General features: G+C 40.4%; 1 long non-coding RNA gene across 2 annotated transcripts in view; it reads right to left on the bottom strand.

Moving 5' to 3' along the window:
- Positions 1-262: 262 nt before the first annotated feature.
- LOC124902157 (uncharacterized) overlaps positions 263-16351 on the bottom strand; it is a 49126-nt gene continuing 33037 nt past the window's right edge. Inside the window, exon 4 of one of the 2 annotated variants that reach the window (XR_007061492.1) lies at positions 263-1083. This is a non-coding gene — a long non-coding RNA (uncharacterized LOC124902157). The remainder of the gene's footprint in view (positions 1084-16351) is intronic. The other variant, XR_007061491.1, reaches the window with a different exon arrangement.

Here is a 16351-nt window from a genome sequence, read left to right as displayed (position 1 = left end):
ATCTGGACTATCTATAACAACCTTCCTGGATTATATGGGAAGAAGAGGGCTAGTCTGCCGGAATGGTGCTTCCAGAGCAGTGTATGTCAGTCATGTGGACTCACTCAGCAGCATCCTTGGGCCCAGCTCCTGCTGCAGGCTCTGGAGGGATGCAGGAGACTATGGCCCAAGGCCTGCCTCCCGTTCTCTGGGACCTCACAACCCTGCTGGGGAGACCTGAAACCCCACCTCCAAAGACAGCAGAGCCTGGACTGACTGAGGGTCTGGCTCTCCCTCTGCTTCTCTGTGAAACAGTACTAATCATTTCATGTCTCTGGGAATTTTTCTGTTAAATAAAGGACCAGATTTCATGATTAGCAGGATTCTTTCAAACTCCAAAATTCTCTTTCTATGAGGGCAAGACAGCATATAATAAAATTTCACAGTATGATAATGTAGGGGTAGAAAAGATGTGAAATCTTTCCTTACCCATCATAAAGGTCACAGGCGACACTCCTATAACAAAAGACAGGTTAGCAAAAGTAATGCATGATACATTTATTTAATCAAAGTTTTACATGACATGGAGTCTTCAGAAATGAAGACCCAAAGACCCAGGGGAAACTGTCTATTTTAATGCTTAGGTTCAATGAAGAATGGGCAGCCACGTGAAAAGGTGATTGGACATCTCTTCAGATTCTTCTTGGCCTTTCTGTATGACATTCCTTTCCCTCGGTGTAAAGCAGGACCGCTCTGGAACCAGGGTCTTGTGATCTGCTATCAAACAAGGTAGGTCAGAGAATTTCTTCATGGCCAGCTGCCACACGGAAAGGCAAGGAAGGTTAGAGTGATATTTCCAGGGTGTCACGGCTTGCTTTGGGCAAGAAGAATTCTGGCTTCCAGGACTCACTTCAGGGGAAAAGCAGGGGGTGGAAGACAGGAAGGCAGGAGAAGGTCAGAGGGAAACTTGGCTTCTGGGGCCTTCAATCTCCTATAGTTCAAAGCACTCTGGATGCCAAAGCATCATACTTTGGGGTATAATTTTATGAGCCCCAGCAATAACAGTCTTTGTGGGAATTCAGAGAATGGGGAGGAATGTGTGAGCTGAAAAAGAATGAAGGAAGAGATGTCAACTAAAGTCAGCTTTTACCACGTGGCAAGCATCGTTCTCTTTGGTTTTATGGAACAACAGTTGTGAAACTGGGCAACTTTCAGACAAACCATTTCATTCCTTCAGTAAATATCTAAGCTCTTATTATTGTCTTAAGGTTCAAAACAGGTCTCCCCATCCCATCTGGCCCCTAAAAAGGATATGTACTTAGTTAAAGAACACAAGACAGGGAATTTGAAGAGTGACATTTTCCCCCCAAAGGCCAAATTTCTAACTTTGTGGTTCTTTCTAATGAGCTGTCTGTAGCTCAAGCCATACCCCTAGCAGCTGGATGATAAAAAAGGCTGTTTATTTGATCCTCAGACTGGGGAGGAGCACTAGTGATTTCTTTCCCTGCTTTACTGGCCCTGAGAAGAATACAACTTCTCGCTTGCACTCTGATTAGCAGCAGGTAGAAGAAAAAAGCTAATGTTAGAACTTTTCCCCTGTCCCTGATGCTCCAGACACTGATTCAGCAGAGGTGAAAGCTCTGCTTTCATTGTTCAGAGCTATAGATTTATGAAAATTGCTTCTTTTGATAGGCAGCCAGGCATGAAGCAGCCTTCTGCTTCTAGTCTCAAAAAAAAAAAAAAAATACTGAGGGCTAATGATGTAAATCGAAGATATTGCCATATTTCCTGGATTTGGATCTCATTGCTACTCCTAGAGCAAAGAATGGTTCCTATGACTGAAGACAGAAACCATACAATTCATTCAACATTCTGTCTTTGGTAATCCCTGAAAGCCACACTAGAAATTTAGGATTGTGTTAGCTGTAGGAAGGAAATCTGAAGTTCCCATGGAGAGAGGCAAGTCAAAGTGCAAATGTTGAAGCTGCCGTTTTTCTCCATCAGCTTTCTTGGGAATTGAGGTAGGGACTTAAAACTGTTTTCACTAATGGCTCTTTAGTGCATCATAGTGAGGTTTTTATTCTTCCCATTAGAACTGAAAAATCTAACATGCTGCTGCCTTCACACCTCGTTTTCTGTCTTCATTAGGAAAGTAAATAGTGGCATGCAGGAAGCCTGGTGTAGACTAAATCCTACTTGCCAGGAGGCTCTGCTGAGGTGGCTATTTAGAGGAGCAGAAAGAGCCCTGGACCCCAACTCAGAGGAAGAGTCAGGGCTATGTCTCCAATAGGATGGGAGCAGCAACAGATGGCTTTGCACTTCTGGGTCACGGGACTTCATCTGTGAAATGAGAGGGTGGGAGTGGGCAATTCTTGCAGGAATTTCCCCTACTATTAACATCTCCTGGTACATTTGTTACAATTGATGAGCCAATACTAATACACTATTATTAAGACCATAGTTTACATTAGGGATCACTCTTTGTGTTTTACATTCTATAGCTTATGAGAAACCCACAATGACGTGTATCCATCATTACAGTATCATACAGAATACCTTCACTGCCCAAAAAATCCTCTCTGCTCCACCTATTCATCCCTCCCTTCCCCCAGAGGTCCTAAAGTATGTAGCCTTTTTGGATTGACTTCTTTCACTTAACAACATATATCTAAGTTTCCTCAATGTCTTTACATGTCTCTGCTAGCTCATTTCTATTTATCACTGCATAATATTTGGTTGTCTGGATGTACCACAGGTTATTTATCCATTTAGCTATTAAAAGTCATCTTCCAAGTTTTGGCAATTATGGACAAACCTGCTATAACCATCTGTGTGCAAGTTTTTGTTGAACATATCTTTGTTTTCAATCTCTTTGGGTAAGTACCAAGAACTGCAATTGCTGAAACATGTGGTAAGAGTATGTTTAGTTTTGTAAGATACTGTCGGCCGGGCGTGGTGGCTCACGCCTGTAATCCCAGCACTCTGGGAGGCCCAGGCGGGGGGATCACGAGGTCAAGTTATCGAGACCATCCTGGCCAACATGGTGAAATCCCATCTCTACTAAAAATACAAAAATTAGCTGGGCGTGGTGGCACGCACCTGTAGTCTCAGCTACTTGGGAGGCTGAAGCAGGAGAATTGCTTGAATCCAGGAGGCGGAGGTTGCAGTGAGCTGAGATCGCACCACTGCACTCCAACCTGGCAATAGAGAGAGACTCTGTCTCAAAAAAAAAAAAAGAAAGATACTGTCAAACTGTCATCTAAAGTGGCTATACTATATTGCATTCCTGTCGACAATGGATGGGAGTTCCTGTTGACTCATATCCTCCCCAGCATTTGGTGGTGTCAGTATTTTGAATGTCACCATTCTAATTTGTGTGTAGTAGTATCTCATTGTTATCTCAATTTGCATTTCTCCAATGACATATGATGTGGAGCATCTTCTCATATGCTTGTCATTCTGCATATCTTCTGGGATTAGATGTTTGTTCATATTTTTTACTCATTCTTAAATGTGTTGTTTTCTTCTTGTTGAATTTTAAGGATTCTTTATGTATTCTGGATACTAGTCTTCTATTGGATAAGTGTTATACAAAGATTTTCTCCCAATCTTTGGTTTGTCTTTTTATTGTCTTAACAGTGTCTTACACAGAATGGAAGTTTTAATTTTAATGAATTCCTACTTATCAATTTTTCTTGATGAATCATGCATTTTGATGTTGTACCTAAGGTCATAACCAAAATCAAGGTCAACTAAATATTTTCCTATGTTGTCTTCTAGAAGTTTTATAGTTTTGCACTTTACATTTAGGTCTATGATCCATTTCGACTTAATTTTTGTGACAGGTGTAAGGTCTGTGTATAGATTTATATTTTTGCATGTTGGATGACCAGTTATTCTAGCACCATTTGTTGAGAAGACTACCTTTTCTTTTGAATTGCCCTTGCTTCTGTGTCAGAGATCAGTTCACTACGTACATGTGGGTCTATTTTTTGGCCCGCTGGTATGTTCCATTGATCTATTTTTTTATTCTTTCACCAATACCACACTGTCTTGATCACTATAACTTTATCATAGATTTTGAAGCTATACAGTGTAAGACTTTCAAACTTGTTCTTCTTTAACATTTGTTGGCTAATCTGGATCTTTTGCCTTTTTATATAAACTTTGGAATCAGTTTGTCAATACCCACTAGATAACTTGCTGGGATTTCTATTGGGATTGCTTTTAATCTATAGATGAAATTTGAAAGAACTGACATCTTCACAATATTGAGTCTTTCTATCCATATACTTAGAACAACTCTCCATTTATTTAGATCTTCACTGAATGCCTTCATCACAGTTTGAGTTTTCCTCCTATAGATCTGATAAAATCAGAACAATGATGTGGAGCTATCACTGTCTTTGTTGAAGGAAACAACAAAACATATGTGCTCATTGGGAGAAATATTAGCAAATTATCACACACTCTGATTTGTTTTCTCTTAAATGTCAATTAATAGATGAAATTACAATGTGAAAATAACCATTGTTAACTTGTGTGAAGAAAATATGAGGGAAGATGGCTGACTAGACACAGCCAGGAGGAACAGCTCCCACCAAGGGACCAGGACATTGGGAAGACTGGTGTGCTCCTGGCAGATCTTCAGAGGGAAGGCTTTGAGAGCAGACAGAGGGAAGACACAGATGTTGGGCTGAAGGGGGAGGAAGGCGGGAACCCTGCAAGGGGCAACCGTGCACCAGGACTCATTCCAGGTCCCCAAAATCTCCTGGAGGAGAGGTGAGTTGAACAGGCAAGGGGCAACCTCCTCTTGTCGCAGGCCCCTGAATTCCTGACAGGAGGAGACCCTACAACCACCAGGGACACTTGAGTTGTCAGGAAGACCTGCTTATAAAGTGTTAATGGTAGAATTCCAGACTGTGCAAAGCCCAGAAGGTTTTGTGTGGGAGCATCTGTAGTGGAGAATGGTCAGGGACACCCATTGCCCTAGGCTAAACTTGTTCTCATAGGAGACTTCAGCCCTAGGGGAACTGTCAGACCTGAACTCTGCAGGGCATTCTTGCCCCTGAGACAGGGCCAGTCTGACCTGAGCATCCTTCAGTCTGCTCGCCCCTCCTGGGGCCCCAGCCTGGCCACACCTGCTTGCAGTGCAGCTTCACAGCGGGGTGCAGTGGAGGCTACCTCCTGAGGACCTGCATCATAGTTCCTGTGCTGGCTGACTGTGCCTGACCAGCAGAGATCTGCTGCAGAGTGGCCCCCATGTACACACATCAGCCTAACTGTGCCCTGCCCCCACTGCAGTCTCCCCGTGCCACTTTGCCTGCATGCACTAGCCCACGGCCATCCCCCACATCGTTTTGCCAGTGCATGTGTGTGTGTGTGGACCTTGCCTCCCCTTTCCTGCCACAGTGTGTGTGCCATGCTACTGCTGCCATCCTGAGTGCACTTCACCCTCTCGACCCCCCACCATACTGCCATTACTGTTGGAGCATTGATGAGTGGGCATGAAGCCCGCCAGCCCCGCCCCTGCCAACACCCTGCCCCTGCACCGACACTACCACCAGTGTGACAATAGGCACCGAGAACAGAGGACCCACCCCTGTTCTGAGCGGCTACTACCACCCACGTGAATGTGCAAGGAGAACTCACACAGTCCTGTGCTCACCAGTGCTTCACTCCCATGCTAACACCGCCACCGGCACAAATGCACACAAAGACACAGGGGTGGGGGAGGGGGCAAGCATCCCCCACCCCCAACCCCTGCACCGTGATGCCACAGTTGCTGCTATGAATGCCCACAATGAGGCCAGCATGCTGGCAGCCACTAGCTCCCTGCCGCAGCCAGTGAATGTGCACCACACCTCGCTGCCACTGCTGCTGCTGCTGCTGAAGGTGTGAACCAGGATGGATCTCACTGGCACTGCCCTATGAAGCACTTTGACTGGCACCACCCATCAGAGTGTTGTGACCAGTGGTCTTGGATCATCTTGGTCCTTCCAGCACAGCAGGTTCCTAACCTTTAGGGGCCAGAGACAAAGCCTGGGCCAGAAACCAGTCCCCCAGAGTTAGAGCATGCAGTTTGGGAGTCCTGAGCTGAGCCTGAGCCTCCTAAAATATTCCAGAAATGAAACCAGTCAGTTGAACCCACCTTGTACCAAAACCAAACCCTCAAGGCCATCAAATAGAATAAAATAAAATAAAGCTCAGCCACAGGACATCAACTTAAAAGATTAAAGAAACATCAGCCCACAGAGATGAGAAAGAATCAGCACAGGAATCCTGACAGCTCAAAAGTCAGAGGGCCTTCTTCCCTCCAAATGACCACATCACCTCTCCAGCAAAGATGAGATGGTTGAAGTGACAGAAATGTAATTCAGAATATGGATATGAATGAAGATCATTAAGATTAAGCAGAATGTTGAAACCCAATCTACGGAAGCTAAGAGGCACAATAAAATGATACAGGAGCTGACAGATAAAATAGCTGTAGAGAAAAGAATGTAACCCACCCGATAGAGCTGAAAAACACGCTACAAGAATGTCATAATGCAATGGCAAGTATTAACAGCAGGATAGACCAAGCTGAGGAAAGAATCTCAGAGCTTGAAGACTGGCTTTCTGAAATAAGACAGCCAGACAAGAAGAAAGAAGAAAGAGTGAAAGTAAGAAATCTCTGAGAAACATAGAATTATGTAAAGAGACCGAATCTATGACTCATTGGTGTCTCTGAAAGAGATGGGGAGAATGGAAACTACTTGAAAACATATTTTAGGATTTCATCCATGAGACCTTTCCCAACCTAGCTAAAGAGACCAACATTCAGATTCTGAAAATGCAGAGAACCCTGCAAAATCCTTCACAAGAAAATCATCCCCAAGAGACATGACTATCAGATTCTCCAAGCTTGAAATGAAGCAAAAAAATCTTAAAGGCAGAGAAAAAGTAATGAGAGATAACCTACAAAGGTACAAAGGGAAGTCCATTAGACTAACAGCAGACCTATTAGCAGAAACCTCACAAGCCAGAAGAGGTTGGGAGCCAATATTCAACATTCTTAGATAAATGGAATTCCCACCAAGATTTCAAATCTAACCAACCTGAGCTTCATAAGTGAAGGAGAAATAAGATCCTTTTCAGACAAAGAAGTGCTGAGAAGATTTTTTTTTTTTACCACCAGACATGCCTTATAAGGCTCCTAAAGGAAGTACTAAATATGGAAAGAAAAGCCTGTTACCAGCCACTAAAAAAAAAAATACAGTGAAATACACAGCCCAGTGACACTATAAGGCAACCACATAAGCCAGTCTTTAAAATAACCAGCTAACATTATGATGACAAGATTACATTCACACGTATCAGTATTAATCTTGAATGGAAATGGACTTAATTCCCCAATTTAAAGGCACAGAGTGGCAAGCTGACTGAAAAAGCAATACCCAATGGTATGCTGTCTTTAAAAACCTTATCTCACATGCAATGACATCCATAAATTCAAAACAAAGAGATGGAGGAAAATCTACCAAGCAAATGGAAAACAGAAAAAAAAGCAACTTTAAACCAACAAAGATTAAGAAAGACAAAGAAGGGCATTACGTAATGGTAAAAGGCTCAATTCAACAAGACATTACTATCCTAAATATATATGCTCCCAACACAGGAGCACCCAGATCCATAAAGCAAGTTCTTGGAGACCTTCAGAGACTTAGACTGTCATACAATATTAGTGGGAGACTTCAACACCCTACTGACCATATTAGACAGATCATTGAGGCAGAAAATTAACAAAGATATTCAGGACCTGAACTCAACACTGGACCAATGGACCTGATAGACATCTACAGAACACTCCACCCCAAAACAATAAAATATACATTCTTCTCATTGCCACATGGCACATACTCTGAAATCAACCACACATTGGACATAAAACAATACTCAGCAAATGCAAAAAGAACTGAAATTATACCAACCACACTCTCACACCACAGTGCAGTAAAAACAGAATTCAAGTCTAAGAAAATTGCTCAACACCATACAATTACATGGAACTTAAACAACCTGCTCCAGAATGAGTTTCAGGTAAATAATGAAATTAAGGCAGAAATCAAGAAGTTTTTTGAAACTACTGAAAACAAAGTTACAACATACCAGAATCTCTAGGACACAGCTAAGGCAGTGTTAAGAGGGAAATTTATAGCACTAAAAATCCACATCAAAAAGTTAGAAAGATCTTAAATTAACGACCTAACATCATGACTAAAAGAACTAGAGAAGCAAGAGCAAACTAACCCCAAAGCTAGGAGAAGACAAGAAATAACCAAAATCAGAGCTGAACTGAAGGAATTGAGACATGAAAAACTATTCAAAAGATCAACAAAGCCAGAGCTAATTTTTTGAAAAAGTTAATAAGATAGATAGACCACTAGCCAGAATAATAAAGAAGAAAGAGAGAAGATCCAATTAACACAATCAGAAATGACAAAGAGGATATTAGCACTTACCCCACAGAAATAAAAATAATCATCAGAGAATATTATGAACCCCTCTACACACACAAACTACAAAACCTAGAAGAAATGGATAAATTCCTGGATACATACACCCTCCCAAGACTGAACCAGGAAGACATTGAATCCCTCCACAAACCAATAACAAACTCCAAACTTGAATTGGTAATAAATAGCCTACCAATAAAAAAAAATAAAAATAAAAAAGCCCAGGACCAGATGGATTCACAACTGAATTCTGCCAGCTGTACAAAGAAGAGCTGGTACCATTCCTAGTGAAACTATTTCAACAAATGGAAGAGGAGAGACTCCTCCTCAGCTCATTCTATGAGGCCATCATCATCCTGATATCAAAACCTCTCAGAGACACAAAAATAAAAGAAAACTTCAGGCCAATATCCTTGATGAACATGGAAGCAAAACTTCTCAACAAAATTCTGGCAAACTGAATCCAGCAGCACATCAAAAATTTAATCCACCACTATCAAATAGGCTTTATTCCTGGGATGCAAAGTTGGTTCAACATTTGCAAATCAATCAATGTGATTCGTCACATAGACAAAACTAAAGACAAAAACCACGATTATCTCAATAGACAAAGAAAGACTTTTGATAAAATTTAACATCCCTTTATTTTAAAAACTCTCAATGAACTAGATTAAAGACTTAAATGTAAAACCTAAAACTATAAAAATCCTGGAAGACAACATAGGGAATATCATCCTGGACATAGGAATGGCAAAGATTTCATGACAAAGATGCCAGAAGCAATTGCAATGAAAGCAGATTTGACAAATGGTATCTAGTTAAACTAAAGAGCTTCTGCACAACAAAAGAAACTATCAACAGGGTAAACAGACAACCCACAGAATGGGAGAAAATATTTGCAAATTATGTATCTGACAAAGGTCAAATATCCAGCATCAATAAGAAACTTAAGTAAATTTATAAGAGCAAAACAAACAATCCCATTAAAAAGTAGGCAAAGGACATAAGCAGATGCTTTTCTAAAGAAGACATACATGCGGCCAACAAACATATGAAAAAAAATCCCATTATCACTGATCATTAGAGAAATGCAAATAAAAACCACAATGAGATACCATCTCACACCAGTCAGAATGGCTATAATTAAATGTCAAAAAATTACAGATGCTAGTGAGGTCGCAGTGGGAAAAAAAAACGCTTATGCACTGTTGGTGGGAGTTCAAATTAGTTCAACCATTGTGGAAAGCAGTGTGATGATTCCCCACAGAACTAAAAACAGAACTACCATTTCACCCAACAATCTCATTATTGGGTATATACCCAAAGGAATATATGTCATTCTATCATAAAGACACATGCATGCATATATTCAGAGCAACACAATTCACAATCGCAAAGATTTGGAGTCAATCTAAGTGGCCATCAATGTTAGACTGGATAGAGAAAATGTGGTACATATACACCATGGAATACTATGTAGTCATAAAAAAGAATGAGATCATGTCTTTTGCAGGAACATGGATGGAGCTGGAGGCCATGATGCTTAAACTAATGCAGGAACAGAAAACCAAATACCACATGTTCAAAACCAAATACCACATAATTGGGAGCTAAATGATGAGAACACATGGACACAAAGAGGGGAACAACACACACTGAGGCCTACTTGAGGATGAACGGTGGGAGGAGAGACAGGATCAGGAAAAATAACTATTGGGTACTAGGCTCAGTATCCGGGTGATGAAACAATCTATTTTCCTACATAACAAACCTTCACATGTACCCCTTAATCTAAAATACAAGATTTTTAAAAAAAGAAAATATGAGGAATAGCATACCATTTGGGTTGAGATAAGGAGAAAGAAAACATGCTTCGCTTACAAGATTTTGTTGGAAAACTGCAAAAAAATGTCTTTTACAAAATTGTTAAACATTTTTTTTTTAAATCAACACCACAATCCTTAAGTGCTTTAGTCAAAATACTTGTCAAGTGAGTAAAAAAAACAAATTAGTTGATCTTGCCTCTCCCCAGATTTTAGGTTCTGTCTACACAGGAACTGAGCAATAGATCTTACGTTATGACTTATTTTGGTAAAATAAATGGTCAGCGTAGCAAGAAAATGAGTTTAATTGAAGTTTTTCCTGCCAAAGATTGTAGGTTCCCTCGTTTATAGATACTGTATCATGGAATTTACTTTAGGTAGTTTTTTTTTTTCCTTCTCTGTCTCTGAAAAGACCTTGCATAGTAGTAGGCTTATTTTGGCTTAGTGATTGTCAGCCCTGACTTGATTACTCATTAAAGTAACCTGGAAAGCTTTAAAAATACTGAGGCCAGGCCCCTCCCCACAGATTATATTGAATTGAACTGTGATGGGGCTAGAGAATTAGGATGTTTTTTGAAGCAGCTGGACTTGTGAGTCACTGGTAGCCACACGAAAATATTATTTATTACATGCAGTTGTTTGATTGAATTAAATTTTTGTCTGAATTTCTGACCAGTTTTGATAAAGTATTTCATCCAGTACCCCATGTGCATACAGACTCACTTGTCTACTATAAGAGGAAAGTATTGTGTGACATGTTTTCATGAGTCCCTCACATTTCTGCACACTTTACGAGCAGACACAGACTGCCCTTTGTTTTGACCATCTTTTCAAGCATGTTGGTATCTCCTTCTGGAACAAAGACTAGGCATAGTTAGGGATCTTTACAAGGGATTTGCATTCCCTGAGCTCAGGGCTCGTATCCCGTAATGCATGTGCATTCATCCATCTGAGTCCATCCATGTCCTTCCCGTGGGACTCCAGGGCAAGGACAACTGATACCCTGTTGCTTATGCTGTTTGTTGGTCCATAAATAATAATGTTATTGACTGAGTGTGGTGGCTCACGCCTGTAATCCCAGCACTTTGGGAGGTTCAGGCAGGCAGATCACAAGGTCAGGAGATCGAGACCATCCTGACTAACACGGTGAAACCTTGTCTGTACTAAAAATACAAAAAATTAGCTGGGCATGGTGGTGGGCGCCTGTAGTCCCAGCTACACGGCAGGCTGAGGCAGGAGAATGGCGTGAACGTGGGAGGCAGAGCTTGCAGTGAGCCGAGATCATGCCACTGCACTCTAGCCTGGGCGACAGAGCGAGACTCCATCTCAAAAAAGTAAATAAATAAAATAAAATAATAAAATAATAACAATAATAATAACGTTCTTTGTCTCTGACCTGGGAGTCTTATTTCTTTTGGCAGCATCCATGAGAGTGGCAGGCCAACTTGTTAGATTGTAAGTAGTATAAAATTTCAGACCCTTTACTGTTCTTGCCAGGAAGATGAGTGTTAAATTGGATTAATACTTTGAAAATAAATGCAGAGAAACAATGTCTGGGAATAACTATTAAAAAGACATAATATATAAGGATCTCTGGGGTGTCCCACTTGGTAGAGCTGTAAGGTAACAGGGTGAATGTATCTTCTGAAAAGCCACAGCTTGCCTGTGATGCCACATTACAGGAAGTCATCGCATTTTGCAGGTATTTTGCATTTACGTTTTCTCGCAGCTGAAGGAATAATCGCTGTCTGGAGGTCTTAAAAAATAGATAATTGTCTCTAATACTATATCTTTACTGTTTACATTTCTTGTTATTGAACATCTACATGTCCAGGTGTGGTGGCTCACACCTGTAATCCCAGCAGTTTGAGAGGTCAAGGTGGGAGGATCACTTGAGCCCAAGAGTTCAAGACCAGCCTGGGCAACATAGTGAGACTCCACCTCTACAAAGAAAAAAAAATTAGCCAGGCATGGTGGCATGCACCTGTGGTTCCAGCCACTCAGGAGTCTGAGGTGGGAGGATCACCGGAGCCTGGGAAGTTGAGGCTGCAATGGGTGTGATTGCACCTTTGCACTACAGATTACAGACTGGGACACAGAATGAGACCCCATCTCCGAAAAAAAAAAAAAAAAGAAAATCTACAAAAATATGTGTTTCTGTGGACTAGCTAAATATATTAGTGTTATATTATTAGGGAAATTTGATGAGTTAAACCCATTATTTAAATGCCATAACTAAGGCCACATCACGTCTTTACAGTGTAGTTTTAAACTAGACCATCCAGTTTCTAATGAAGAGACAACTCCGTCAGTTCCGACATGAGCCCAAACAAAACTTTATCCCCCCATAAAGTGGATTACAGATATGCACACACATCAGCAAGGGAAGCATGACAACAGTTCATTTAATGCTGTTATATGCAACCCTATATTGTATTCTGAACACAATGAAAATAAGATGTGGCCCAAGCATGGTGGCTTACGCCTGTAATCCCAGCACTTCGGGAGACCAAGATGGGAAAATCACTTGAGCTCAGGAGTTTGAGACCTGCCTGAGCAACATAGCGAGATCTTGTCTCTGAAAAAATATATTCTTTTAAGTGAAAAAAAAAATAAGATGAGATGTCTGCCCTTCAGCATATAATAATAATAATTTTAGAGCATCTATTCTACACCAGACATTGTGACTAAATGCCATACAAGGCACTGTTATAATTTCCAATGTACATATGGTAGGGCTGAAGTTTAGGAAGTTTAGCTTGTTCAAATGAGAACACATGGACACAGGGAGGGGAACATCACACATCAGGGCCTGTAGGGGGATGAGGGACAAGAGGAGGGAGAGCATTAGGACAAACACCTAATGCATGCGGGGCTTATAACCTAGATGATGGGCTGATAAGTTCAGCAAACCACCATGGCACATGTATACCTATGTAACAAACCTGCACATTCTGCACATGTATCCCAGAACTTAAAAATAAAATAAAATAAAAAAGTTTAGCTTGTTCAGCATCCCATAGTAAGACACTGAGATGCAGGACTCAGGCTCTTAACTGAACAACACCCTATTACACAGATGCTACTTGAAGAAACAGATCAGCCCACCTACCTGACTTGACACCTTATAAATGAAATAGCCCTGTGAGCACACCTCAATGCAATCTCAGAAGATCCTCCCAAGCTATTTCACTTATTTACAAGGGAAATTGGAAATTGTTGCTGTAGCTGACAATATATTTATTGAAAACATTAGAGTGGAAGAAGTAAAGTACAAGTGAATTTGACATTTCAGAACATTTTGGCTTTTTGTCAAAGGTATTTGAAATTGCAAATGAGGCTTTGGCAGTTACTGAAAAGATGTATCAACTGAGTTCAGGAGATGAGTTTTGGGGTCAATCTTGAATTCTCTTCCTAGGGAAGATCTGTGTTGGTGAAGCATAGAGTTTGCAAAGGCATTCCTCTGAATTTGTGCTATTTATACAGAAGAGCTCTCCTTTCCTGTGGATTTCATTTACACGATTGGAAAAATTACCTCTTTATTCGAAATAATCTTTGTGAAATTATATTTTCCAATATATAATAAAAGAGGTGAATCTGGGAAAAGTGTGTAGTAAAAAATTTGACTTGGACATGCCATTAGGTTAAAAGATTGAATTAGGATTTATTTTAAAGATTCAGCATGGCAAAGAGGAAAGTGGCCAACTTTAGGATCTATAAATCCGATGTTGAATACTGGCCTGGCCTCGTCCTCATGCAGTGACCTTGAAGGTTTCTTATGAAAAGAGAACTCTTGTTAGTGCCTGGTATTTGGCTTTTACTCACAAGCTGATCACTGTTGCTCTATTTGTCACTGAGATTTTCATGGTGATAGTGAGGTAATGATGGTGATAATGAGGTTAAATTTTTTAAGTATCTCAGAAATGGGAGAAAATATTACAAGCATTGAATTATAAATGTGTGCCTATTGAGCTTATGCAAGAATAAGGCAGAACTTTCCCTCAAGGTGCATAGGTATTATTGAAGAAATAATACAGACAGAATTACAAACATCGACTATATGATAAACTTTTGAAGTGCACCTTGCGAATAGATCCAAAGGAGGGTTGGGTTTTTGCTAGAAGGATTCATACTCATTTGAACAACTCAATGGAGTATAAATAATTGAAATAAAATACCTTAACATGTTTATTCAATTACCGAAGCCAGTCTTATAAATTATAACACAGAAGCATAGACATATTTTTATTTGGGTATATTGTTTCTTGCCTTTAGGACGTTATAATGAGGTATCACATTTAAACATAAGGCTGACATAAAACGTCAAAACAGATATATGAGGGATATGACTAAAAGTTGTTCTTTCCAAATATAGGTGCACAACTCAAAAATGTCTAACTTATAAGAACTTTCCATCTGTATGAGATTAACCAGTTAACTTGTTATCATACCTAATGAGTACACTCCTGGTATAGTTAACTTTTAAAACAGCTGAACTTTATAATACATGATTATGAGTAGACAATATTTCAGAGATCCTAAAAAGCTTGTTTAAAATGTCTCTTTTGATTAGAATGAAAGATAAACAGTGACAGATGATGCCTATTGTCTCCATGGTAATTACACTAATTAAAAGTAACATGGCTATGCTGTGTAGCTGCCTGGACTTTGAGAAAGACCTCATGCCACAGGGCTGAGGAACATTCCTGTGGATCCCTAGTACACACGGGATCAAAGGGATACCTTAATCTATAGTTTCCTAAAAACAAAGAGTTAAGTTGCTTTTAAAAATTAAAAAATATATATACATTATTTTTATTATTTTAAAAGTATGGAAAGTCACTGGGGAAAGGAGGGGAAAGCATTTATTTTTATACAGTTACTTAATTACCTCCAAAACACAAATTTTGGAAATCATATTTGCTGGTGCAAGTATTTTAATGAACAAGAATCCATATATTGAGGTTATGATTAGAGAGCTCAATGTATGCATTTGCCATCTTGCTTAAGCTCGGCAGAGCATGAAAACCTAAGTTTATTCCCAAAGTATATAACTTCAAATAAAAAAAAAACTTCAAGTTCCAGCCACACACTCTCTCTCTCGCTCCGTACCTCCCTCTTCATCGTCTCTCTATATATCTTACATACTTTAAAGCCCCAGCCAGGTGCAGTGGCTCACACTTGTAATCCCAGAACTTTGGGAGGCCAAGGCAGGTGGATCACCTGAGGTCAGGAGTTCAAGACCAGCCTGGCCAAGATGGCAAAACCCCATCTCTACTAAAAATACAAAAATTAGCTGGGCATGGTGGCACGCCTGTAATCCCAGCTATTTGGGAGGCTGAAGTAGGAGAATTGTTAGAACCCGGGAGGTGGAGGTTGCAGTGAGCCGAGATCACGCCACTGCACTCAGCCTGGGGACAGAGCGAGACTCTGTCTTAAATAAATAAATGAATAAATAAAATAAAATAAAGTCCCACTTCACTTCTCAAATGGGACTTCTGATTAACATTTTGGTTTGTAAACCAGGGAATAACTCCTACATTTTATTCATTCAGGGAGAACAGACTATATGCTGGGTCATATGTTATGTTCATATTTTCTCTGACTCTCATTCATGAAGATGTCTGCCTTTCATTAATTTGTTTTCTTGTCACTCTGTGAAAACATAACTTCAAGACTCACAGACACTGAAAAATACTATTTTTCAACCACTAATTTCTAACGTTGGTGAAGGCAAGCTTCATTTCCCCCAGGAAGCTTTCACTTTGAAGATACAAACTCCCTGAGTGGAACAGGAGTTTTATCTTCACTTTGGAGCTCTAGAGGACCATAGACAGAATCTAGTCCAACATTACAGATAAAGAAACTGAGGCCTAGAGGAGACAGGTGACTTGTAGAAAGGTCCTACAGGGAGTAGCAGAACCCGAACCCACATGCAGTCCACCTAACTCTGAGACCGGGTCGCACTGACAATGCCATGTCCACCTTCATTACAGCACAAAATTCAGGGAATGGGGAGCATCTATAGAGCTCTTGGGAAATAAAACACCA

Source organism: Homo sapiens, chromosome 9, assembly GCF_000001405.40.
Source record: "Homo sapiens chromosome 9, GRCh38.p14 Primary Assembly".
NCBI lineage: Eukaryota > Metazoa > Chordata > Mammalia > Primates > Hominidae > Homo > Homo sapiens.
This window is presented reverse-complemented; position numbering and strand designations above follow the sequence as displayed.